This window comes from Homo sapiens, chromosome 22, assembly GCF_000001405.40.
Source record: "Homo sapiens chromosome 22, GRCh38.p14 Primary Assembly".
Classification (NCBI taxonomy): domain Eukaryota; kingdom Metazoa; phylum Chordata; class Mammalia; order Primates; family Hominidae; genus Homo; species Homo sapiens.
The window spans coordinates 40757043-40783771 of NC_000022.11; the positions used below are offsets into that span (position 1 = coordinate 40757043).

The 26729-nt window shown below is 41.5% G+C and overlaps 1 protein-coding gene across 7 annotated transcripts in view, besides 2 other annotated features; it reads right to left on the reverse strand.

Moving 5' to 3' along the window:
- Nucleotides 7956–8055: a silencer, noted in NCBI's record as "silent region_13774". NCBI's record gives its function as "represses an Ori minimal core promoter by ATAC-STARR-seq in GM12878 lymphoblastoid cells {active_cell/tissue: GM12878}" and the evidence as "EXISTENCE:reporter gene assay evidence [ECO:0000049][PMID:35858748]".
- Nucleotides 12588–26729, reverse strand: part of SLC25A17 (solute carrier family 25 member 17) — a 49717-nt gene continuing 35575 nt past the window's right edge. For 6 of the 7 annotated variants that reach the window (NR_104238.2, NR_104237.2, NR_104236.2 and 3 more), the window contains 5 exons: nt 21967–22083; nt 20186–20331; nt 19998–20093; nt 16895–16977; nt 12588–13939 (listed from right to left, as the gene is read on the reverse strand). Coding sequence is in view for 3 of the 7 variants with exons in the window: in NM_001282727.2 (NP_001269656.1) it covers nt 13792–13939; nt 16895–16977; nt 19998–20093; nt 20186–20331; nt 21967–22083 (590 nt within the window). In the remaining 4 variants the exon portion in view is untranslated. Of the gene's footprint in view, nt 13940–16894; nt 16978–19997; nt 20094–20185; nt 20332–21966; nt 22084–22715; nt 22853–26729 lie in introns of all 7 variants that reach the window. The other variant, NR_104235.2, reaches the window with a different exon arrangement.
- Nucleotides 25023–25522: an enhancer, noted in NCBI's record as "H3K4me1 hESC enhancer chr22:41178069-41178568 (GRCh37/hg19 assembly coordinates)". NCBI's record gives its function as "activates a minimal SCP1, AML or CMV promoter by ChIP-STARR-seq in primed H9 embryonic stem cells {active_cell/tissue: H9 hESC(primed)}" and the evidence as "EXISTENCE:reporter gene assay evidence [ECO:0000049][PMID:30033119]".

The following is a 26729-nucleotide window of genomic DNA, read 5'->3' on the forward strand; positions in this document are numbered from 1 at the left end:
TTTTTGTATTTTTAGTAGAGATGGGGTTTCACCATGTTGGCCAGGCTGGTCTTGAACTCCTAGCCTTATGTGATCCACCCGCCTTGGCCTCCCAAAGTGCTGGGATTACAGATGTGAGCCACTGAGGCTAGCATTCTTGTTTTATTACACAGTACCTTTTCTACTCACAAGCTCCTGAGATCATGCATGTATTTCTCAGCTTCCTTCTGCCTAGACACGCCCACACTTCATTCAAGTCAGACTAAGATAGGAGTGCATCAACCATATGGTATTTAATATGGTGAAATTTCTAAGGCACTAAATCTTAGGGAAGCCATGTCTTTCTCAACACTGTAGCCCACCCCCCTCAATATAAACTCAATGGACAAATATTTACAGAATATTCATAGCAATGCCTGGTACTTAGCCATGTTAACGAGGATTCAGAGCTCTGAATCTACTTGGTTGAGCGGGTAGGTAAGTAAACAAATAAATACAATTTAATGCTGAAGGTGCTTGACAGAGCTTCACCCAGAGTATTATGTTCCAAAAACTAACAAAGACATACATACCTCCCAGCCTAGTCAATATAGTGTAAGACCCCACCTACAAAAAAAAAAAAAAAAATTAGCTGGGCAGGGTCACACTTGCCTGTGGTACCAGCTACTCGGGAGGCTGAGGTGAGTGAATCGCTTGCGTGGTTGAGGCTGCAATGAGCTTTAATCATGCCACTGCACTCCAGCCTGGGTGACAGAGCAAGACTCTGTCTCCAAAATAAAATAAAATAAAATAAAAAGCATTCCAGAGACCTTTGTCTTACGGACATCCTCACCCAAACTTGAAATTCAAATGATGGGCCTACTCTTTTTAACGTGGGTGTTACTGCATAAATCATACCTCAAGGAAAAAGATGCAGGAACTGAGCCTTGAAAGATATTCTTTTTTTTTTTTTTTGAGATGGCATCTTGTTCTGTCTCCCAGGCTGGAGTGCAGTGGCGTGATTTCAACTCACTGCAACCTCTGCCTCCTGAGTTCAAGCGATTCTCCTGCCTCAGCCTTCTGAGTAGCTGGGACTACAGGCACCTGCCACCACACCCGGCCAATTTTTGTATTTTTAATAGAGATGGAGTTTTACCGTGTTGGCCAGATTGTTTTCAAACTCCTGACCTCCAGTGCTGGGATTACAGGCGTGAGCCACCGCACTCGGCGGAAAGAGATTCTTAGTAAAGGTCAACCAAATACTAAAAAAGAATCCAATTTATTTTCTTTCATTGACTGTATGCTGAATCTACCTTTGATCTTTGGAGAAAAGAGAAATAGTGCTGGCAAACTTCTGAACTTATTTGCTAAGTTGCTTGTTAAGCTAAACAATCACAACCATCGAGTGGCTATATTTTTAACCTGGGGTCCTTTGGCATATAATATGTATCGAGAGTAATAGGCTTACCTCTTCTAGGAAGACAGCATGCTGTTGTGGAAAAAAGGATGGCATTTGAAATTAGAAGACCTGTTTGGTCCTGCTCTGTCAGTTACTGGCTGTTTGACTATGAATGAGTCATTTAACAATTTGGAACCTGTCTCCACACCTATAAAATGGAGATATCACCTGCCCACTGCATCTCAGAGGTCTGCAGCACCAAATAAGAGGGTGGATGCCAGATTGTTTTATGAACTACAAAGAAATATACAAAGATTAATAATCAGTGTTTATATCTGTATGCTACAGCTTTAGCCAGTCACTGGCACAAATGTACTCAGTAAGTGTTCGTAAAATAAATTAATATCTCAAATGCTCCTGGAATATAGACCAATGAGAGCTCTAGTCAGCTATAACCAGGAAGCCTCAATAGTTACCACATTTATTTCAGATGATATGGGCCAATTGTGGTGGCTCATGCCTGTAACCCCAGCACTTTGGGAGGCCAAGGCGGGTGGATCACTTGAGGTCACATGTTCGAGACGAGTCTGACCAACCTGGTGAAACCCCGCCGTCTCTACTAAAAAAAAAAATACAAAATTAGCTGGGCGTGGCGGCGCGTGCCTGTAATCCCAACTACTTGGGAGGCTGAGGCAGGAGAATTGCTTGAACCTGGGAGGCAGACGTTGCAGTAATCTGAGACCGTGCCATTGCACTCCAGGCTGAGCAACAAGAGCGAAACTGTCTCAAAAGAAAAAAAAATACAGATGATGTGGAAAGACGTTTTACCTGTTTACATTAACAACACTTGTTTAGTGAGGATTTGATTTTTAAATTCATGGGTTGTCAAAATGCTTTTTACCTCCTGCTCTGACTTTTAATCATTTTTCTGCCTGTTGGCACTTCCACCAATGGTGAACAGGAACGAGGGAGTTTTAACAAACTGTGGATCATTCTATTTTGTATGTTTCTTTTCTTTCTTTTCTTTTTTTTTTTTAGACAGGGTCTCACTTTGTTGCCCAGGCTGGAGTGTGCAGTGGTGCAATCTCAGCTCACTGCAGCCTTGGCCTCTGAGGCTTGAGCAATCCTCCTGCCTCGGCCCCACAATTAGCTGGGACCACAGGCACACACCACCATGCCTGTATTTTTTGTAGAGGCAGGGTCTTGCCATGTTGCCTAGACTTGTCTCGAACTGCTGAGCTTAAGTGATCTCTCTGCCTTGGTCTCCCAAATTGCTGGGATCACAGGTGTGAGCCACCGTGCCCGGCTGCCTAATTTTGCAGGTTTCTGTTAGCTCCAATAAAGGCCATAAAGAGGTGGATACTACTGGCCAAAAACTGTAACTTTTGTGTCTCGCACTTCAATACCTGTTGATATGGAGAGGTACTTGGCTTCATTCTTTGGCCAAAAAAGATGATAAATGATAGATGACAAATTAAAAGTTTGGGCATACGCTTGGGGAAAGAAAAAAGTAAAACAATACAATTTCAGCAAAGTACTACCAACTCCACTCTTTGCTTTAATACATATAAAAAGGTGCTTCAAGGTAGTGTTCCACTAAGTTCAAGCCACAGCTCCTATTCAGATTGTTTATGAGATCTAAAAATGCTTCCTTTTTTTTTTTTTTTTTTTTTTGAGACGGAGTCTTGTTCTGTTGCCCAGGCTGGAGTGCAGTGGTGTGATCTTGGCTCACTGCAACCTCTGCCTCCCAGGTTCAAGCGATTCTCCTGTCTCAGCCTCCTGAGTAGCTGGGATTACAGACACAAACCCCCACGCCTGGCTGATTTTTGTATTTTTAGTAGAGATGGGGTTTCACCATGTTGGTCAGGCTGGTCTCGAACTCCTCGTGATCCGCCCGCCTTGGCCTCCCAAAGTGCTGGGATTACAGGTGTGAGCCACAGCACCCGGCCTAAAAATGCTTCTTTTTCTGGTTTAATTGGGAACAAATTTCACTAGGCATCTCTGACAGCAGTGATTTATAATGATTTATAATAAGAAGCTGACTGCAATGCCCTCTGGTGGTTTAAAGCTTTCTTCATATCTATAACTGCAAAGTTAAAAACAAATGCAGCCATTTTCTATCAAATGGGAGTTTATTTATGAATGAAAACATCAACAAAGATAATCCATAAAATTTCCTTTTGATTTCCATGACTATCATCATAATAATAAAGCATTTCTACAGATGCACTTTGCCTAACATAACTCCATGGTTCAAGGGGTTAATAAAATAATTTAGCCTGTAATCCCAGCCTCTCAGGAGACTGAGGCAGGAGGGTCACTTGAGCCCAGGAGTTTGAAGCTGCAGTGAGCTATGACCATGCCACTGTACTCAGCCCGGGGAAATAAAGCAAGACGCAGTCTCCTAAAAACAAAAAAAAAAAAGAGATTTGGCCGGTCGCGGTGGCTTACACCTGTAATCCCGGCACTTTGGGAGGCCGAGGCGGGCGGATCACGAAGTCAGGAGATTGAGACCATCCTGGCTAACACGGTGAAATCCCCTCTCTACTAAAAATACACAAAATTAGCCAGGCGTGGTGGCGGGTGCCTGTAGTCCCAGCTACTCGGGAGGCTGAGGCAGGATAATGGCGTGAACCCAGGAGGCGGAGCTTGCAGTGAGCCGAGATAGCGCCACTGCACTCCAGCCTGGGCAACAAAGCGAGACTCCGTCTCAAAAAAATAATAATAAAAAAATTAAAATATAAATATGTTATATATATTTACTATATATAACATATGTAAATATATTTAACATGTATAACATATATTAAATATATATAAAATATATATCTAAAAACAGTGAAGACTTAAGGTGAAGGATAATTTATATATTATCCTTATATATGTATTTAATACATTTATATATAAATGTGTGTATATAATTTATATATACATATTATATATATATTATATATATATATATATATATTTTTTTTTTTTGAGGCAGTATCTTGCTTTGTCACCCAGGCTGGAGGGTGGTGACATGATCATGGCTCACTGCAGCTTCCACCTCCTGGCTCCTGGGCTCAAGCAATCCTTCCATCTCAGCCTTCCGAGTAGCTGGAATTGCAGGTGTGCACCGCCATGCCCAGATAATTTTTTCTAGAGATGAGGTCTTGCTATGTTGCCTAGGCTGGTCAAACTCCTGGGCTCAGGCGGTCCTTCTGCCTTGGCCTCCCAAAGTGCTGGGACTATAGGCATGAGCTACTGCACCCAATCTTTTATAATTTTTAATACACTAACAAATGCAAAATAAAGAACTCAAAAACTCAACTAGTTTCTTTTTTTTTTTTTTTTTGAGATAGAGTCTCACTGTCACCCAGGCTGGAGTGCAATGGCGTGATCTCGGCTCACTGCAACCTCCACCTCTTGGGTTCAAGCAGTATTCTCCCACCTCAGCTTTCCAAGTAGCAGGCAAAAACAACAAAAAACAGACAGGTTGGACTTCATGAAAATTTAAAAATGCGTACATCAAAAGACACTATCAACAGAGTAAAAAGGCAACCCACAGAATGGGAGAAAATATTTGCAAATCATACGTCTGATAAGAGATTAATATCTAGAATATATAGAGAATTCCTAAAACTCAACAACAAAAAAACACTTGATTCAAAAACAGGCAAATAACTTTTTTTTTTTAAATTCTGAGTTGGCTCACTAGGGAGTAGGCAAGTGACTTGGATAGACATTTCCCCAAAGAAGATATACAAATGGCCAATAAGCAAATGAAGAGATACTCATTATCACTAATCATTAGGGAAATGCAAATCAAAACGACAATGAGATACCACCGCACACCCCGTTACGATGGCTACTATCAAAAAAGCAGAAAATAATAAGCGTTGATGAGGATGTGGAGAAATTGGAACCCTTGTGCACTGTTGGTGGGAGCGTAAAATGGTGCAGCTGCCATGGAAGAGTACGGTGATTCCTCAAAAAATTAAAAATAGAGCTGGGCACAGTGGCTCATGCCTGTAATCCCAGCACTTTGGGAGGCTGAGGTGGGTGGATCACCTGAGGTCAGGAGTTTGAGACCAGCCTGGCCAACATGGTGAAACCTTGTCTCTACTAAAAATACAAAAATTAGCCAGGTGTGGTGGCGGGCACCTGTAATCCCAGCTACTTGGGAGGCTGAGGCAGGAGAATTGCTGGAACAAGGGAGGTGGAGGCTGCAGTGAGCTGAGATCGCGCCATTGCACTCCAGCCTGGGTGACAGAGCAAGACTCTGTCTCAGATAAAAAAAAAAATTAAAGATAGAATTACCATATGATCCAGCAAATTTACTTCTGGGTATGTATCCAAAAGAATTAAAAGCAAGGTTTCAAAGAGATATTTGTATACCCATGTGCACAGCAGCATTATTCACAATAGCTAAAATGTGGAAGCAACCCAAATGTCGATAGAGAAGCAAAATGTGATATATACATACAATGGAATATTATTCGACCTCAAAAAGGAAGGAAATTCTGACCTATGCTACAACATAGGTGAACCTCAAGAACATTATGCTGAGTGAAATAAGCCAGTCACAGTTAGACAATTACTGTGTGATTCCACTTAGATGAGGTACTTACGGTAGTCAAAATCATAGAGACAGAAACGAGAATGGTGGCTGCCAGAGGACAGGGGAAGGTGGGGAGTGGGGAATTAGTGTTTAATGGGTTTAGAGTTTCAGTTTTACAAGATGAAGCGTTCTAGGATGAATGGTGCTGTTGGTTGAACAATATTACAAATATATTAAATGCTTCTGAACTCTACACTTAAAAATGGTTAAGATGGGGCGGGGCGCGGTGGCTCACGCCCGTAATCCCATCACTTTGGGAGGCCGAGGTGGGCGGGTCACCTGAGGATGGGAGTTCAAGACCAGCCTGACCAACATGGAGAAACCTCGTCTCCACTAAAAATACAAAATTAGCCGGGTGTGGTGGCGCATGCTTGTAATCCCAGCTACTGGGGAGGCTGAGGTAGGAGAATCGCTTGAACCTAGGAGGCAGAGGTTGCGGTGAGCCGAGATCGTGCCATTGTACTCCAGCCTGGGCAACAAGAGTGAAACTCTGGCTCAAAAAAAAAAAAAAAAAAGATTAAGATGGTATGCCATGTGTATTTTACCACACACACACACATGAAAATTAGGAGGGGAAAAAAAAACCTCATCTAGTCTCTGTACTAGTTTCCAAGTAAACATCTCTGTATTAATCAAGATAAATCCAAGTCCAGACCTTGATAATAACAAGAATTCACAGTAAGCCTAAACTGTTCTTCCTGGTCAGTCTTCATAAAGGTAAAATGAAACAATTAATGCTATGTCTCATTATTATTATTATTTTTTTTTTTTTTTTGAGGCAGGGTCTCACTCTGTCGCCTAGCCCTATGTCTAATTTTTAAAGTACATTTAAAATTAGCCAGGCATGGTGGCTCATGTCTGTACTCCCAGCACTTTGGGAGGCCAAAGTGGGAGGATTGCTTCAGTCCAGGAGTTTGAGACCAGCCTGGGCAACATAGTAAGACCCTATCTCTACAAAAATAAATGAAATAAAATTAGATTTAATTTGTTTTTTTTTGAGACAGTCTCACTCTGTCACCCAGGCTGGAGTGCAGTGGCATGATCTCACTGCAGCCTCTGCCTCCTGGGTTCCAGTGATTCTCCTGCCTCAGCCTTCCGAGTAGCTGGGATTACAGGTGCCTGCCACCAAATCTGCCTAGTTTTTGTATTTTTAGTAGAAATGGGGTTTCTCCATGTTGGCCAGGCTGGTCTCAAACTCCTGGCCTAAAGTGATCCCCCAGCCTTGGCCTCCAAAATTGCTGGGATTACAGGCGTGAGCCACCATGCCGGTTTTTTTGTTTTTGTTTTCTTTTTTTTTGAGACAGGGTCTCGTTCTGTCGCCCAGGCTGGAGTGCGGTGGTGCGACCATGGCTCATTGCAACCTCTGCCTCCTGGGTTCAGATGTTCCTCCCACCTCAGCCTCGCAAGTAGCTGGGACTATAGGCGTGCACTACCATGGCTGGCTAATTTTTGTATTTTTTGTAGAGGCAGAGTTTTGCCATGTTGGCCAGGCTGGTCTCAAACTCCTGGGCTCACGTGATCCACCAGCCTTGGCATCCCAACGTGCTAGGGTTACAGGCATGAGCCATGACACCCGGCCTACATTTTAAATTCTTAGAGTACAAGCACCTTATCTTCTTTCCCAAGTCTACATGTAGACATAACTGCTAAGTAGAATGGGGGTCCTAATCACCCCTCCTCCCTTGTTGAAGGCCCTCTGTGACCTGATGCTGTTTCTTCTCCTCCGCTTCAATATTTGTTCAACCCAGAGGTCCAGGTTGGAAAGCTTCTGGATCTAATTCAAACCAATGCACAAATAATAAAGTATCATCCTCTTCCTACTTTGCATATGCTATTTATTTCCTGTCGAGGTCCTCCACCCACTGCTTGGTGTATTTCTAGTTCAAATGTCACCGCCTGGCCCCACAGTTCAATACAGAGTTAGGTCCCACTTCCTCATGCTCTCAAAGCAACTCCTGAACATTTACAGCACATTTCTCATCAGAACTCATCAGCGGTACAATTTTAAGTTGTTTTTGTCTGACTCCCACGCTGAACAATGACATACATGAGGGCAGAGACTATTATTCATCTGTATAATCCCAGCAATCTGCATAGTGTTTGGATATGGCAGATAATCAAAAATGATTTCTTAAATGAATATAACCTTATTCTTAGAATAGGAATTTGCAATTTAAGAAGGTCCTCCATATGACACCCACACAGGGAACCACCTGCTGGATTGGCCATCCAATTTGCCAATGGGTTCTATAGAAACCACAGCAAAACAAGAATGAGGTGCACGTGACACAATTACATCAATAGTGCCCTTAGGGTAGATCATTTTGGTGACTCCAATTAAAGAATAAATGAAGATAAATAAATAAATACATTTCTAATTAAAGAAATAAATGAAGGTTACTTTTTTTTTGCGGGGGATGGAGTCTTGCTGTCACCCATGCTGGAGTGCAGTGGCATGATCTCGGCTCACTGCAGCCTCTGCCTCCTTGGTTCAAGCTATCCTCCCGCCTCAGCCTCCCAAGTAGCTGGGATTACAGGCGCCTGCCACCACACCGCTAATTTTTCTATTTTTAGTAGAGACAGGGTTTCACCATGTTGGTTGGGCTGGTCTTGAACTCCTGACCTCAGGTGATCTACCCACCTTGGCCTTCCAAAGTGCTGGGATTACAGGCGTGAGCCACTGCACCCGGCCTAGATGGCTTACTTTTAAGGACATCTGAAGAATGTAGTATGGCAGGGTAAAAAGAGCCTCAACTAGGAATCCCTACCCCTATTCATGAGGTGTGTGACTATAGATAAATTACCCTTTAAGCTTCAACTACTTCACCTGTTAATGGGAATAAACCCCATACGCTGGAGTTGTTACAAGGATATCAAGATGTACATAGGCCGGGCGCGGTGGCTCAAGCCTGTAATCCCAGCACTTTGGGAGGCCGAGGCGGGCGAATCATGAAGTCAGGAGTTCGAGACCATGATGTTCGAGACCAGGAGTTCGAGACTGGCTAACATGGTGAAGCCCCATCTCTACTAAAAATAGAAATAAATTAGCCGGGCGTGGTGGTGGGCACCTGTAGTCCCAGCTACTCAGAAGGCTGAGGCAGGAGAATGGCTTGAACCCGGGAGGCGGAGCTTGCAGTGAGCCGAGATCGCACCACTGCACTCCAGCCTGTGTGACAGAGCGAGACTCTGTCTCAAAGAAAAAAACAAAAGATGTATGTAAATTAATTGTGACTAGCATTTAGTGGGCATTCAATTTCTTGTATAGAAGTTTCAGTACCCACTCTCATGCTCTGTAACTAGTTTCAAACAGAGTTCTCCTTCCTTTTCAATGTCATTACAGACTGAATCCATTTGCTGGGTCCCACAGTTCACTGTCCAGTATGTACTTGCCACACATTTTTTGAACATCTCTTTTGAGTGTTGTGGTAGGCACTGGTCTCTCCCTTTCCTTGACTCTCATACCAACTCCTAATTTCTTTTTCACTCTGTCTTTAAATAGTAGCTTTCCTTCTTCTCCACTTAGCCCCTAGAAAACTTTTTTTCTTGCTCATTAAGCCCACTGAATACACTTTTCAGGGGCAACAAGTATATCCCAGAAAGATCAGCACTAACCTTCAATTTATATAGTAATAAAAGCCCTCCCACTGCTCCTATGAAGGCAAAACAAAACAAAACAATCAGGGTCTCAATCAGCCACTTTTTTGTGGTGGGTGGGGGGTGCGGGGTATAGGTTCTTGCTCTGTCACCCAGGCTGGAGTGCTGTGGTGCGACCATGGTTCACTGCAACCTCCGCCTCCTGGGCTCAAGCGATCCTCTTACCTCAGCCTCCCAAGAAGCTAGGACAACAGGCATGAGCCGTGGTGCCCAGCTGATTTTTTTTTTTTTTTAAGTAATTGAGACGGGGTCTTACTATGTTGCCCAGGCTGGTCTCGAAGTCCTGGACTCAAGTGATCCTCCTGCCTTCGCCTCCCAAAGTGTTGGGATTACAGGCGTGAGCCCTGGTGCCTGGCCTCAATCAGCCACTTTTAGTGCTATTCTCATGAATATCCTACAAATGAGGCTTTGTGTATGTTGGGTATTCTGGTGACATTCCACACTGCCAGGCAAGTAATTAATTCACTTGCCCAGAGAAGGGCTCTCCTTAGGTGTGTGGCATTTGGCTCCTCAAGTCACCATTCTTTAGCTTTTCAAAAGAGCCAAGGTGAGTCACTAGCTCAATCAGTGATGTTGCCATTAAACCAGTTCATGTTTTACTGATTAACTGATAAGTGTTTGGGAAACTTGACTACTAAATAAAATATAAAATTACTGGATTTGGCTCCTTTTTTGAGAAGATACAACAAAGGAAGGCTCCCAAAAAAGAAACGTTCACAATTAAAACAAACGGGAAGATTGAGAGGTCATCATTTCTACTTGACAGATGAAGACCTGGAAGCTCAAAAAGGTCAAGTGATCTGTCTGTAGCCACAAATGCTAATAAAGTGACAGAATGAAAACTGGGACCAGGTCTGGCTCAAAATCCAGAGTGCCTTCCACTAAATCACAGATACATCTATTCAAATAGCCATATCCCTAACCAGTAACAATGATATCATAATAGTTGTTGCTAACATTTATCTAGCTCTTCTCATGTGGCAAGTACCGGGCTAAGCGACTTACGTGTATGATCTCATTTAATCCTCACAATCCCCCTATGAGGTAGGTTTATCAAGATCTCCGTTTCGCCAGGCGTGGTGGCTCACGCCTATAATCCCAGCACTTTGGGAGGCCAAGGTGGGCGGATCACCTGAGGTTGGGAGTTTGAGACCAGCTTGACCAACATAGGGAAACCCTGTCTCTACTAAAAATACAAAATTAGCTGGGCATGGTGGCGCATCCTGTAATCCCAGCTACTCGGGAGACTGAGGCAGGAGAATTGCTTGAACCCGGGAGGCGGAGGTTGCGGTGAGCCGAGATTGTGCCATTGCACTCTAGCCTGGGCAACAAGGGCGAAACTCCATCTCAAAAAAAAAAACCTCCATTTCATAATTGAGGAAATCAAGTTTCATAAAAGTTCAGTAATTGCTTTGTTACCACAGCTGGTAAGGAGTAGGGCAAGTTTGCACCTAGGTCTAATTCCAGAACCCATTCTCTTAATCATTACAGTAGATTGCAGGAAACTAAAACTCTAGTCCTGCTTCCAAAGCGGCAAGTCATTTGAGAGTTTTCTCTCAATTTCCTTGTCAATTAAATGGGGATATTGTTACTTGTCCTTACCTATTTCACAGAAATATTAGGATTATAAAATGAGAAAGTATATAAGCTTTCAAAAGGGAAATTGCTATATACATCTAGGTACTGTCTAAAGTTTCACTCAGATCTTCCCTATTCCACAGTCATAAAGGGATTTGGCTGACATCATTAGCTCTCAAACATCCTCTGAAGTGGGTAGTATTATCTCCACTTATCAAACAGCAAATTACAAAGAGATGGCGTAAAATGCTAGTCAGCAACAGAGCTGGGAATAAAACCCAAGATTTCTAACTCCCATTGAATATGTTCTTATGCTAGATCTATTTCTGCATTTCATACTTAACTGTACAACAGACAAGGGTAGAAATATTACAGTGCCCACTTCAAAACACATATTAAATACTTACAGAAATTACATTTTCTACTGCTGTGACACTAATACAATCCCTAAGGTTCTTAATCCTCATATTCTAGAGAAATTGCACAAAGTATCAAAAATAAAAAATTCCCATTTCCCTAGTACAGACTTCAGCTCTTTAGTTTCCTCAAACAACTTATTATTAACCAATGGTTATAAAACTAGGTGGGTTACTAACTAGTTTCAACTAGTGAGTTTGTAAATTTCCATAAGGAACATAACCCTCAATGTTAAATTGTTTCCTCATAAAATCAGAAAAAGAGAAGCATCAAATACATTCTCACATCATAAATACCTAATACAGCTATATAATTCGAACTGGAAATTATCCTAACAGACCAACTCACAATATTCTGAGCTCAAAATTCAAGTTCCAAAGGGAACGGCATAATTAAAACAATAATGAAAATACACATGACACCTTTATGATCATTTTTCTCCTATACAGAAATCAAAATAATTTTGTACTTCCCACTCAAGGTCTGCCACAGGCACACAAAAACCTTAAAGTAAAATTAAAAAATAGAAAAAACAATTCTGTCTTCAATTCTCTGACTTAAATAGGGGATGAATGTTCAGTCTTCTTCCCAGATTATTAGCTCCTGCTAATTTTTGTTTGCTAGAACAATGCAATGATCTTTAACAATCATATACTTTGAAATTACCACAGGGACTAAAGAGAGGAAATAAGAGAAGGAAATTTCCACTCTCAAAATTGAACTAAATCCTTAATAATGAAGTATTTCATTATTACTCTCTCTGACTAAATCATGGACTTACAAATGAAAAACCCGCCATTTTGTCATAGGGACAAAAAGGAAGTCATAGAAATCCAAAGAACCGCTCTGCTAATGTCAAGTGAATTTGCTTCCTGAGTGGGTCGAGATATCTAAATCCACTCCTGGCCGCATAATAAAAGCCTTACCACCTTAACAACGTGCTGTGAGGTGAAAGCAAAAGATGACATACGACTCCTAGATTTTTCAGAGGTTGTTTTAATACATTAATCTCTTTCCTTTGAGAAAAATCTTTATCTTGATGTCTATAATCGAAACCAATCACTTCTTCTCATGGGTCAGGGGTCCTATGGTCTCCTGAACTTTAATGTGGCTGTGAATCACCTGGGAATGTTAAAATACGGAACAGGATTCAGAAACTCTGGGTTGCGTGCCCAGCAAGCTCTCAGCTTGTGGCAGTACTACCGTCTGATGGACCACACTGAGCAACAGGACTCTAAGGAAGGTTTCCAAATGAAATAACCTCAACCAGATGTTTATTTTCAAAATATACGGCCTACACCAAGTTTATAAAGGGAGATAATATCCAGACCTCAACAAGATATCTGCTCCCCTTCTCATTTTTGTGATTTTTCCCATCTGGTTGCAAACTCAACGTAATACCTTAATAAAGAGCAATTTTCAAGAATATCTTTTTTGTGCTGACCATTTATTGGGACTTGACTGACCAGGGCTTGTAAGAATGGACACAAAACTTCAAGTCTTTCGTAATGAAAGGATTGATTCAAAATAAATATTCTAAAAATTATGTCAAACACTAATGAATAAGTGACATTTACAAATAGTTTATAAGAGAATCATTTGGGTGAACAATTTTCATTTCACAAAATAAATAGCTCATATCCAAAAAAGACACCTCTCCTTAAGCAGGGAAAAAAAAGCCCAACAAAAATAAAGTCATGCCCGTGGCACAGCCCTAATGTTAGTTTTAGGGAGGAAAACACCAACACTGAGACATACAAAAGTATTTGAGGAGAATTACATGTTATTAAATTTGTCCTAGAACCTGGGGGAGAGTTCAGGGAAAGAGAACAGCTGGTATATTTAAGAAAGATTTAAATAGAAAACATTACACATGAGAGCAAAATAGTCCATTTCTCTTAAGAAAACCAATAAACACTCACAAACTTTCATTTTTAGGTTTTCAGCAATGTTTTTTTCACATTAGTCCAACTGCCACCCCAAAATCCAACCAGCCAGCATGACAATTAAGGTGACAACAGGTCCAGTTGGCCATACTCCCTGTGCACCCTTGGATGCTTTTCAAGCCAATGAGGGTAACATTTGTGGTGGCAGGAGCCAGAGTCAAGGGAGAATCACTTCTCTTCACTCAGGAGGAAACCTCCCTCTTGAGCATCTTCGGAATTTTTCATGGGAAGGCGTCTCAGTGTTGGTGTGCACGCTTCAGCCCCATAACTGTGAAGGTGGCAGCTGTCAGTTTCTCATAAACAAGGAACATGAGAGCAGCAGTGAGGACTGTCTGCAGCAGTTTGGCTTCAAGGCCTTTGTAGAGTCCCATTATTCCAAAACGTCTAAAGGGAAAGAGGTTTGAAAAAACAGAAGTCAGCTCCTGCATCAGAGAACATGCTACCTAGATAGCTACTTTGATAAGAACAAGCAATAGAGGTTTTAGATTTCAACACAGACTTCTGTTGTCAAAGTACTTTCCTTTTTTTGAGACGGAGTCTCGCTCTGTCGCCCAGGCTGGAGTGCAGTGGCGCGATCTCGGCTCACTGCAAGCTCCGCCTCCCGAGTTCATGCCATTCTCCTGCCTCAGCCTCCCTAGCAGCTGGGACTAGAGGCACCCGCCACGACACCAGGCTAATTTTTTTTTGTATTTTTAGTGGAGATGGGGTTTCACCATGTTAGCCAGGATGGTCTCGATCCCCTGACCTCGTGATCTGCCCGCCTCAGCCTCCCAAAGTGCTGGGATTACAGGTGTGAGCCACCGTGCCAGGCCCTAGTTTTTGGTTCTTACAAATAATGTCTTAAATTTGGAAGCAAGCTACATGTCCATCAACAGATAAATGGATAAAGAAAATGTGGTACTTATACAAAATGCAGTACTATTCAGCCATCAAAAAGAATGAGAGTTTGTTGTTTGTAACAACATGGATGGAACTGGAGGTCATTCTGCTAAGTGAAACAAACCAGGCACAGAAAGACAAATATCGCATGTTCTCACTTATTTGAGGGACCTAAAAATCAAAACAATTGAACTCATGGAGATAAAGGTAGAAGGATGGTTACCAGAGACTACTGGGAAGAGTAGTGGCGGGGGGAAGGTGGGGATGGTTAATAGGTACAAAAATAGATAGTTTGAATAAGACCTAGTATTTGCTAGCACAACAGGTGACTATAGTCAATAATAATTTAATTGTACATTTAAAAATAACTAAAAGAGTATAATAGGACTGTTTGTAACAAAAAGAATAAATGTTTGAGAGGATAGATACCCCATTTTCCATGATGTGATTATTATGCTTTGCATGCCTGTATCAAAACATCTCACATACCTCAAAAATATATACCTACTATGTACCCACAAAAATCAAAAATTAAAAAATTAAAAAAAAAAAAACAAAGCCATTATTAACATTTGTATACAAGCTTTTGTGTAGACATATGCCTTCATTTCTCTTGGGTAAATACCCTGAAGTGGATGGCTGGGTCCTATAATAGGTGTGGTATATAAAAATTTTTAAAGAAAATGCCAAATTGCCTTCCAAAGCAGCTGTACCATTCTATATTCCCACCAGCAGCATAAGAAAGTAAGTTCTGGTTGCTCCAACATCCCTCCCAATACTTGATATAGTGAGTATTTATTTTTTACTTTATACATATTCTTTGTCTTTTATTTTATTTTATTTTTTGATAGAAGGTCTCACTCTGTTGCTCAGGCTAGAGTGCAGTGGCACAATCACAGCTCACTGCAGCCTCGACCTCCTGGGTTCAAGCAATCCTTCCACCTCAGCCTCCTGGGTAGCTGGGACTACAGGCAGGCACCAGGATGCCTAGCTAATTTTTTATTTGTGTAGAGACGGGGTCTCACTATGTTGCCCAGGCCAGTATCAAACTCCTGAGCTAAAGCGATCTGCCTGCCTTGGCCTCCTAAAGTGCTGGGATTATAGGTGTGAGCCACCACGCCCAGCCTAATTTTGTCTTTTAGTCCCTTGAATGTTCTTTTTTTTTTTTTATTTTTTTTATACAAGGTCTTGCCTCTTTAGCCCAGGCTGGAGTACAGTGGTGCCATCATAGCTCAGTACAGCCTCAATCTGCCGGGCTCAAGTGAATCTCCTGCTTCAGCCTCGTGTGTAGCTGTGATTACAGGTTTGTGCCACATGCTTGGCTAATTTTGTAAATATTTTTTGTAGAGACAGGGTCTCACTACTTTGCCCAGGCTGGTCTTGAACTCCTGGCCTCAAGCTATCCTCCTGTCTCAGCCTTCCAAAGTGTTGGGATTACAGGCATGAGCCACTTTGCCTGGCTGCATATTTTATTTTAATAATAAATTTATTTTCAAAGTATCTTGTATCTAGGAACAGTAATAAAGTTATAAGAGCTTTTGCTTCAAAGGAGGTCCCTGACTTATCTGACTTCACTAAGTGTCAGTTTCTTTAAATGAAACAGGAAATGACAATAGTTCTTAACTCACAGAGCTACTGTTAGGATTGACAAGGCTGGGCGCGGTGGCTCACACCTGTAATCCCAGCACTTTGGGAGGCTGAGAAGGGCAGATCACGAGGTCAGGAGATCAAGACCATCCTGGCAAACACAGTGAAACCCCATCTCTACTAAAAAATACAAAAAATGAGCCAGGCGTGGTGGCAGGCGCCTGTAGTCCCAGCTACTTGGGAGGCTGAGGCAGGAGAATGGTGTGAACCCAGGAGGCGGAGCTTGCCGTGAGCGGAGATAGCGCCACTGCACTCCAGCCCGGGCAACAGAGCGAGACTCTGTCTCCAAAAAAAAAAAAAAAAAAAAAAAGGATTGAGATTACCTATGTGTAGCCTCTAGGTCAGTGTCTGCCACATGGCAAACCACTGAAAATGTTAGCTACTCTTACCAACACCACCATCATCATTATCATCATCATCATCACTATTATCACTTTTTCCACTGCCCCCTCCCTTCTCCAGTACTCCTATTCTATAGGCAGATGTTATATTGCTAAGAGGCATCATAGGATATGCCACTGATGAAAGCACACTCAGGGTGACTGAAGTATAGAAGGGTTCTCTTTCTGAAGGAGTTCTGAATATTTGTAACTAACAAAGAATAAGAACCTGAACTTTTCCATAATTTCCCAAAATGCTGTCATACTGTACTAGGCTCCTAAAATGGGAAATGTCTAAGCACAGCAAGCAAGGGAAAGGTTTTGGAGGTTGCCACCACCAAGGCAGTAGTGTGAGAGAGGGAAATGCAACCCCTCCCTGGCAGAGATGGCTGCTGAAGGAGAGCACGGAATGTGAGGCATCTACAAAGCTCACCTTACTCGTTGGTGAAGAAGATAGAGAATATTCCGAAGACTTCCCAATGTTCTGTTTTCTGGGTTTAGTCTATGACGCCCAAACTGAGGAAAGAGGGAAAAAAAACAAAAGTACTGTTGCTGTTTTTTAAAATCTTCATTTTTACCTGGGGAGGATATTATGTTGGAGTAGTATCTTATAGCATACATTAATAAATTTATCCAATTAGTACCATAGATTTCATTAATCCTGTATTTTTCAACTGAGTGAAATATTTCAATCAAATAAGTGAAAATAAGAAAAATTTTTCCTTTTTTTTTTTTTTTGAGACATCTTCTCACTCTGTCACCCAGGCTGGAGTGCAATGGCACAATTTTGGCTCACTGCAACCTCCACCTCCCAGGTTCAAGTGATTCTCCTGCCTCAGCCTCCCGAGTAGTTGGGATTATAGACATGTACCACCACGCCCGGCTAATTTTTGTATTTTTAGCAGAGATGTGGTTTCACCATGTTGGCCAGGCTGGTCTCGAATTCCTGACCTCAAATGATCCACCCACCTCGGCCTCCCGAAGTTCTGGGATTACAGGCATGAGCCACCATGTCCGGCCTAAGAAAAATTTTTCAATGAAGCAAGCATAATAATTTTCATTTTATAGAGAGGTATAGGGAAAATTCTACCTCAAAAGAAAAAAATATGCCCAGGATGATGATTTAGATATTGATGGTAATAACTTCCACTTCTTTAAGAAATTCTGAGAAATGAATCATTTAGAACATCTGCAGTCTAAGCTCTTCAGATTATGTGTTTACATTATAAAAGTGTTAAAATACATTTATAAGGATGCTACTGAATTCCCTTATGTTAAGTACCAATTTTAAAATAATATATTAGTAAAAATGCTTTTAACAGAAGGTACTAATTTTTCTGAACTGGAATATTCTCACTACCACCCCTATTTTATCTAGCAACAAGCCTTTTGAAATTTTTCTCCAAAACAGATCTTGAATCTGTCCTCATCCTACCCCTCTCCTCTCCAGTGCCACCACCGTGGTCCAGGCCACCATCCTCTCTTGCCTGTATTACTGAAATGGCCTCCTACTAGATTGCCCCTGGCTTTCTCTCTTAGCTTTCTGACCAATTCACCACATAATAGCCACAACAGTCTTCTTCAATTGTAAATCACAGCACATATTCCCCAGCTTAAAGCCCTTCCCATCACATATTCTCAGCTTAAAGTGCTGAGGATAAAAATCTACATTCCTCACCTACAGTTTCCCTGCTGCTCTTGCAATCTCACCCTGAGCCACTCTACTGCCATAGAGGCCTTCTTTCAGTCCCTAGGATACACCAAATTCTTAGTACATTGATATGGTTTGGCTGTGTCCCCATCCAAATCTCACCTTGAATTGTAATAATCCCCACAAGTCAAGGGCAGGGCCAGGTGGAGATAACTAAATCATGGGGGTGGTTTCCCCTATACTGTTCTTGTGGTAGTGAATAAGTCTCATGAGATCTGATGGTTTTTTTTTTTTTTTTTTTTTTTTTTTTTTTTTTTTTTGAGACGGAGTCTCGCTCTGTCGCCCAGGCCGGACTGCGGACTGCAGTGGCGCAATCTCGGCTCACTGCAAGCTCCGCTTCCCGGGTTCACGCCATTCTCCTGCCTCAGCCTCCCGAGTAGCTGGGACTACAGGCGCCCGCCACCGCGCCCGGCTAATTTTTTGTATTTTTAGTAGAGACGGGGTTTCACCTTGTTAGCCAGGATGGTCTCGATCTCCTGACCTCATGATCCACCCGCCTCGGCCTCCCAAAGTGCTGGGATTACAGGCGTGAGCCACCGCGCCCAACCGATCTGATGGTTTTATAGGAGGAGTTCCCCCTGCACTTGTCCTTGCTGCCGCCATGTGAAGAAGGACATGTTTGCTTCCCCTTCCACCATGATTGTAAGTTTCCTGAGGCCCCCCAGCCATGCTGAAATGTGAGTCAATTAAACCTCTTTCCTTTATAAATTACCCAGTCTCAGGCAGTCCTTTAGAGCAGCATGAGAATGGACTAACACACACATCATGCTCCCCCTGCCTGGAATGCACTTTCGTCCACTCTGCCCCACTAGGGCCTTACCCTCCTTTGCATCTTGATTTAAATATTCCTTCTCAAAGAAGCCCACCTCCAATCATGCTATCTAAGAAGAGCCCCACCATGCCCCTCTCCAGTAAATAATTTCCTTTATAGTTCTTTTTTCAATTTGTAATTACCTATTTATTTTGCTTGTTTACCTGTTCATTCTCTCTTCCACTAGCTCCATAAGGGCAGGGATTATGACTTTTATTTACCACTGCATGCCCAGGTCCTCCCACAGTGTGGATGCTTAGTAAATATTTGAATGGATAAATAACTGAATGAAATAAAAAACAGAAGTTTGAGAGTGCTTCAAAAAAGCTAAATCATTCATTCCTCCTGAGTGAACTAAAGGAATTAACCTCTGACTTTGTAAAGGATAATCCCTGCTGGGGCACCAAACCAATCAACTTGAATGAGAAGGAAGCAAACTTATGCTTTCCTGAGGTCTTTAAGGAACTTGTCTCCACATCTGTGTTTTCTGAGACATTATGTTACCTAAGAAATTACAAATGCAAACTTCATTCTAAACCAATGACAGCCAGCCTAGTTAAGCAGAATATCAAACAAATGAAAAAATGGGGGCCAGGCACAATGGTTCATGCCTATAATCCCAGCACTTTGGAAGGCCAAGGTGGGAGGATCGCTTGAGTCCAGGACTTTGAGACAAGCCTGGAAAACATGGTGAGACCCCATCTTCACACAAAAAAATTTTAAATTAGCTGGACAAGGTGGTGTATGTAGTCTCAGCTACTTGGGCAGCTGAGGCAGGAGGACTGCTTGAACCTAGGAGGTCGAGGGTATAGAGACCCATGGTGCACCACGGTACTCCAACCTGGGTGACAGAGGGAGATCCTGTCTCAAAAAAAGAAAAGAAAAAAAACAGATAGGGAATATTCTGGTATACCAACTAACTGCTTTATTGCTTTATTAACATTGTTTTAAATCAAGAGACTACATGTATTCGAATGCTGTTTGACTAAATGCGAAGAGAACTCCAGCACTCACCCTCAGAATTGACTGTACCGTCTGCAGGGGATAGGTCACCGTGGTGGCAATCGCTTTGGCTACTGCACCAATGATGAACACATCCAAGGAAGAAAGCTGGAAAGCAAAGGAAGAACAAACCATATCAATCAAGTCAACAAGAAGGTGTCAGACAGAATTATTTTACTGCTTTCAAAATCAAGGATTACCTTCATCCGTTTCTTTAAAAGCTGCCGTTTTAAACCTTCATAAAACATGAACTGGATGGCAGGATTGAAGACCAACAGCAATGAGGGAAATGTGCCATTCCATAAAGCCGAGATTCCTTCATCGCGAATGATCTGATGAAAAGCATCTAAGCAAGAAATCAGGGACTTTTGAAAAGCATGATCACAATCCCCCAACTAGAGAAGACAACATGAATTCTGTTGAAATGTACCCAGAACACAAACCATACTGGTTCTATAAAGATTTCCTTCTTGCAGCCGGTTGCAATGGCTCACGCCTGTAGTCCCAGCACTTTGGGAGGCCGAGGCGGGTGGATCACGAGGTCAGGAGTTTGAGACCAGCCCAGCCAGCATGGTGAAACCCTGTCTCTACTAAAAATACAAAAATTAGCTAGGTGTGGCGGTGCATACCTGTAATCTCAGCTACTTGGGGGGCTGAGGCAGGAGAATTGCTTGAACCCGGGAGGCAGAGGTTGCAGTGAGCCAAGATTGTGCCACTGCACTCCAGCCTGGGTGACAGAGCAAGACTCCATTTCCAAAAAAAAAAAAAAAAAGATTTCTTTCTTGCAATGATAGTTTGGGGTCAAGTTTATCGGTTAATTACTTTTTGATAATCAGACATTGACAGTCACCAAGTTATTGAGAGACCAACTTCAATCACAGGCAACTGTTCCTGATGATCGAATCCTCCTAAGTCATTATCACCATCACTGGGAATTCTGGATTACACAGAACTGTGAACTGAGCCCACATATTTCACAAAAAAGTCCAGCACAAGAAAAGATAAGATCGTTTCCTAGAATTTATTATACAGGATTTGACTTTTAAAAACCACTATTTCACTACAAAGATTGATGTATGGGAAAGGAGAACCTGGCAATGTGGTACTATTGAAAGGCAGAAGCTCAAAGATATCAGATACCAATCTGGTGTCTATCCAAAGACAACACTAGAATAAAAAAGTATAGATCATTCTTCAAAAATATTCATCCCCTCCCATTGATACTCTTTGGGAGCAGCATACTTCTCTACCCCTTGTCTTGGGCTTGGCTATGTGATGTGCTTTGGCCACTGGGATGTCAGCAGACAAGGTGCCAACAGGGTTGAAAGGTGTTTATACCATTGGGTGTGTCCTCTTGACCTTTTGCCATCACAATGAGAATATGCTCATGCTGGTCCCAGAAAGAGGAGAGCCATGTGAACTGAGACTGTCAGGCTACGGTCAGCCTAGATGAGCCAAATCCACGTCAATCCACAAACATGTGTTAAAAAGAAATGCTATTGATGGATGCCGAGATTTGAGGTTGTCTGTTATGCAGCTTTTATTTTTTTTTAATTATACTTTAAGTTCTAGGGGACATGTGCACAACGTGCAGGTTTGTTACATATGTATATATGTGCCATGTCGGTTTGCTGCACCCATTAACTCATCATTTACATTAGGTAAAAGCAATGGCAACAAAAGCCAAAATAGACAAATGGGATCTAATTAAACTAAAGAGCTGTTGCACAGCAAAAGAAACTACCGTCAGAGTGAACAGGCAACGTACAGAATGGGAGATAATTTTTACAATCTACCCATCTGACAAAGGGCTAATATCCAGAATCAACAAAGAACTTAAACAAATTTACAAGAAAAAAAATCAAACAAACCCATCAAAAAGTGGGCAAAGGATATGTTATGTAGCTTTATGTGGCAACATATTCCAGATACAAAGAAGGAAGAAAACCCTTAAATAGGAATTCAGCAAAGAGATACTTACCAATGATACCTTTGTAGTTTGTTGGTACAATGTCTTCATTCCTAAATTTTGCTCCTTGAAGCTTCAGTCTGGTGTTTACCACCCAGAGTGGAGTTGTTAGCAACACATTAACCACTCCTTTAACAAGAAAGATGGAGAGAAAAAGGGAAGGCAAAATGTCAGCTTTTAAGCTTTGCTGCTTTAAAGCTACATACCAATATTCCATTTATATCTCTGTCACTGACCTCTTAGGAGACCTAAGGTAAGGTGTCTCTTTGTGCCAGGGTACAACACAAGCCACTACTGTTAGAAGCGATTTGGAAGCTTTGCTGATAGCAAAATGGCTGGCGGCAGCAGCTCTCCAGATGAAGAGCAATAAGTTCCCTCATTTGTACAACAGGCAATCTATTTGTCAATTTATATACCATTCAAAGTAGCAATTTTGATATAGCTTTAAATATAATTTTAACGTAACAGCTTTAGAGATGAGAGTGGCTTACAGCTAACATGCTAAGTCCATGACAATATCAGATAAAACACACAATTTACAACTCTTACTTAAGTAGCTCACACGGTTTGAAGTGAGTATGGATATGGTACAATGAGTGACAGGAGGGGGAAAGGTGGTGACATTTAAAAGTGCCTTAACAGAGACTAGAAGCTCGCTGAAGAGTTCCTCCTTGCTGAGAGCATTAGGATAGGCAGGCAGCAAGCATCAGGTAAGTGTCACAAAACACCTGAAACAGCTTCACAAGCATCATGATCCTTACAAGCTTAAGGATGGGGATCTTGGCCCCCCAAGGTTGCCTCAGAGTAGAACAATACAATGAGCCAGGTGCTTCTTTTTTGAAAACATATGATCCCAATTTAACACCATCTTGAGATATTAAAATATTCCTCACCAGTCCTGAAATGATTAAAAAAAAATACCAGATAGAATTGTAACAATGTGCCTGACACATGGTATATACTTTATAAACATTTGTTAAATAAATAGTGGAACAAATGAAGCAATGAACAAACTCAGTAAAAAAGCACACATCCAACTGTCTGGCTCTAGTCAAGATCTGAAGAACCAAGAGAAAAAATCCTAAGGAAGAGAAGTCTTTTACTAAAATCCATTTAAAGATAATTGAAGAAATAAAGTTTTGATTTAAGGTATCTCAAAATATTATATATAGGAAATACAGTCTAACCAAGGATAAACTTGACAAAACAGCCAAGAGATTCAAATTCAATTTTTTCATTAGTTGCATACAGTTGTTAAAGATATTTTGCTGCCTATCTCTAAGGAGCATTATAAGAGCACATTTCTCAAAATAAAAGGCATCACCTAATAATTTTATCAGTCGTATTTGTTATATTTTTATAGATTCACATAACATTAAGGAGTCATCTTTAGTTATAACTTAAAAGGCTCATACATTGTCACTGGAGGCATTGCCTATAATCTAAAAAACCCTTAGTTACAGATTCTTCCTAGTCTCATTTTTTCAAAAGCACCCATGCCCCAGAGGCCAGTATAGAGGGATATTAACACATTCCTGTTTGCCTAGATTTTAGAATGTATTCCTATTCAATGCAATGCACACTTCACTTAACAGAGAAAAACCAACAGCCAGAAAAATCAGACTAGAAAGTGCTATTGAGCAGTCTACTGCATTTGTTTTAAGAGAAAAGGAGGACAGGAGAGCTCAGGACCAGAGATCACAAGCTTCCACAGATACCGTAGAAAGGTATAGTGCACCCACCTTTCTAAACAAGTGAAATATGTTGCCTGTTAAATAAATTCTTCAGAAATAAAAATTTTCTTCATTTAAGAGGTAGGCACATACAAAAACACTTAGGAGGCAATGCAGCTAAGATTAAGATCTAACCATTCTTTAAAATTCTGCTTTCATGCCCAGTGTGGTGGCTCATGCCTGTAATCTTAGCACTTTGAGAGGCTGATATGGGAGGATCACTTGAGCCTAGGAGTTCAATAGCAGCCTGGGCAAAAGAGGGAGACTCCATCTCTAAAAAAAATATTAAAAATTAGCCAGGCAGGGTGGCACACTCCTGTGGTTCCAGCTACTCAAGAGGCTGAAGTGGGAAGATCGCTTCAGCCCAGGAGGTTGAGGCTGCAGTGAGCTGTGATCATGCCACTGCACTCCAGAGCTGGGCAACAGAGTGAGACCTTTTCTTATTAAAAAAAGAAAAAAGAAAAAAAAATCTGCTTTCATATCCCCATTATTAACACAAGCAGAAAGACTAAAAGGATTCTTTTTTTTTTTTTTGAGACGGAGTCTCGCTCTTTCGCCCAGGCCGGAGTGCAGTGGTTCTATCTCGGCTCACTGCAAGCTCCGCCTCCCCGGCTCACACCATTCTCCTGCCTCAGCCTCCCGAGTAGCCAGGACTACAGGCGCCCGCCACTGCGCCCGACTAATTTTTTGTATTTTTAGTAGAGACGGGGTTTCACCGTGTTAGCCAGGATGGTCTCGATCTCCTGACCTCGTGATCCGCCCGCCTCGGCCTCTCAAAGTGCTGGGATTACAGGTGTGAGCCACCGCACCCGGCCTAAAAGGATTCTTCTCAAGGACAACCTCAAGTACAAAAATGTACCACATTACTTAAATAACAGATTATAAAGTCCTTGTAAGAACATTTGGTATTTCAAAGCTTTTTATCTGAGAAGTTCAAGTACTTTTTTTCACTCTCTAAGCCAAAATAGATGGAGGAGTATTTTTTAACCAGTATAATTTTATGAGTTCTGAGAGAAGCTACTCAAAATACTTGAGAATCCGAAGCTTTACTAAAACTTGCAACCTATATCATCAAGCAAAGGTCAGCATTCCACTGAGAGAAGCATGCCACAAACCATTCGTGAGTACCAATTCCAACTCCTGACAGGCCCAAAGGATAAAGAAAATTGTCTGCTTTTTTGTAAGCCCGTGTAACTCTTCTGCCAGTTCCGGCCGGGTGCGGTTGCTCACGCCTGGAATCCCAGCACTTTGGGAGGCTGAGGCGGGTGGATCACAAGGTCAGGAGTTAGAGACCAGCCTGGCCAACACGGCGAAACCCTGTTTCTACTAAGAATACAAAAATTAGCCAGGCACGGTGGCGGGCGCCTGTAGTCCCAGCTACTCAGGAGGCTGAGGAAGGAGAATCGCTTGAACCCAGAAGGTGGAGGTTGCAGTGAGCCGAGATCGCACTACTGCACTCCAGCCCGGGTGTCAGAGCGAGACCCCATCTCAAAACAACAACAACAACAACAACAACAACAACTCTTCCGCCAGTTCCAAGCTGTGGATGCTACTTCCGCTCTAAAGTAGAAATACAAATTAATACTTTACCTACCAAAGGGCAGAAGACTGTTTTTTTTCTAATTCTAATGTCTATAATTCTATTTTCTTTCTTTCTTTTATGTAACAAATCATTTACAAGAAAGAATAAACCAAAATTAAGAGATGAATAACAGTAATTGAACACACTAAAATTATTCACTAAATCAAGGAACAATTAGAACACAGCTATTTACTCCTGAAATCTTGAAAACAATTAGTTTTATCAGCAGTGAGTCTCCTTTGTTACGGAGAGAAAACACAAACGAAGTAGGCTAATTGGGTATGCACTTCTGGAAAATATGTGCAATGACCATGGATATAAGAAAATGGCAAAACAAAGGCACAAATCTAACAAATCTCACTTGACTCCGTAGGAAGGAATGAAACTTTACACACAACAGGAACAAACCTGTCTTGCCAGATTTAAGGCCAGAGGGCAGGAAATACATTTTGAACTATCACAACAATGATAATACCTTTGGCATTCAGTAAGAGTTATTGCTAAAAATTCCAATTTCATAAAAATAAGTGTCTCTTCATTTATCTGTTAAGGTTCTGTTCCCACATTATTCCCCAAGATATGAAGCTTTATAGGCTTGTTTTTCTGGGAAAATACAATAAATAATAAATTTCTAAGTTTCAAGAAGAATTTGAAGAGCAACAACGCTGTTCCTAGTTCTCCTTAGAGATGATACAACTCATTTCTACAGTGATTATAATACTCACAGCAGGAAGAAAGCTGTTATAATTATTATAAAAATATGTACATATTAAGATATAAAAACTTGTTATGAAGAGAAGTTTAAAACTCACAAAAGTAATTTTCAAGGAACTCTCAACCTTCAGAAAAAGAGAAGACCTACAATCAGAGAATCTCACAATTAACAAAGGATTGTAAAATTCTTTAACCCAGAGTCTCCCAACTGTGACAGTACTAATATTTTGGGGTGGAAAATTATTTGTTGTGTGTGTATGTGGGCTCTTGTGTAGGATGATTAGCAGTCTCCCTGGCCTCTACCCACTAGATGCCACATTTGACCCTGTGGGTCAAAATCAGCCTCAGTGGAGAACCACTAATCTAATCCAATCACCAAGTGATTATTCCTTTTATTCTTTACAATTTCAAAACACAGGAATTCACTTTCACACCTGTTTTATTCCATTAGCTGTTACAATTATTTATTTTATTTTATTTTGTTTTTTTGAGACATGGTCTTGCTGCAGCCTCCTACTCCTGGGCTTAAGTGATCCTCCCTCCTTAGCCTCCCAAGTAGCTGGGATTACAGGCACATGCCGGCTAATTTATTTTTAATTTTTTACCATTCCCAGCACTGAAGTTAAAATATGTAGAGACAGCTTTAACTTGACTTAACACCATACTATCTAAAATGGTACCTCTTTTTTTCTTTTTTGGAGATGGAGTCTCGCTCTATCTCCCAGGCTGGAGTGCAGTGGCTCGAT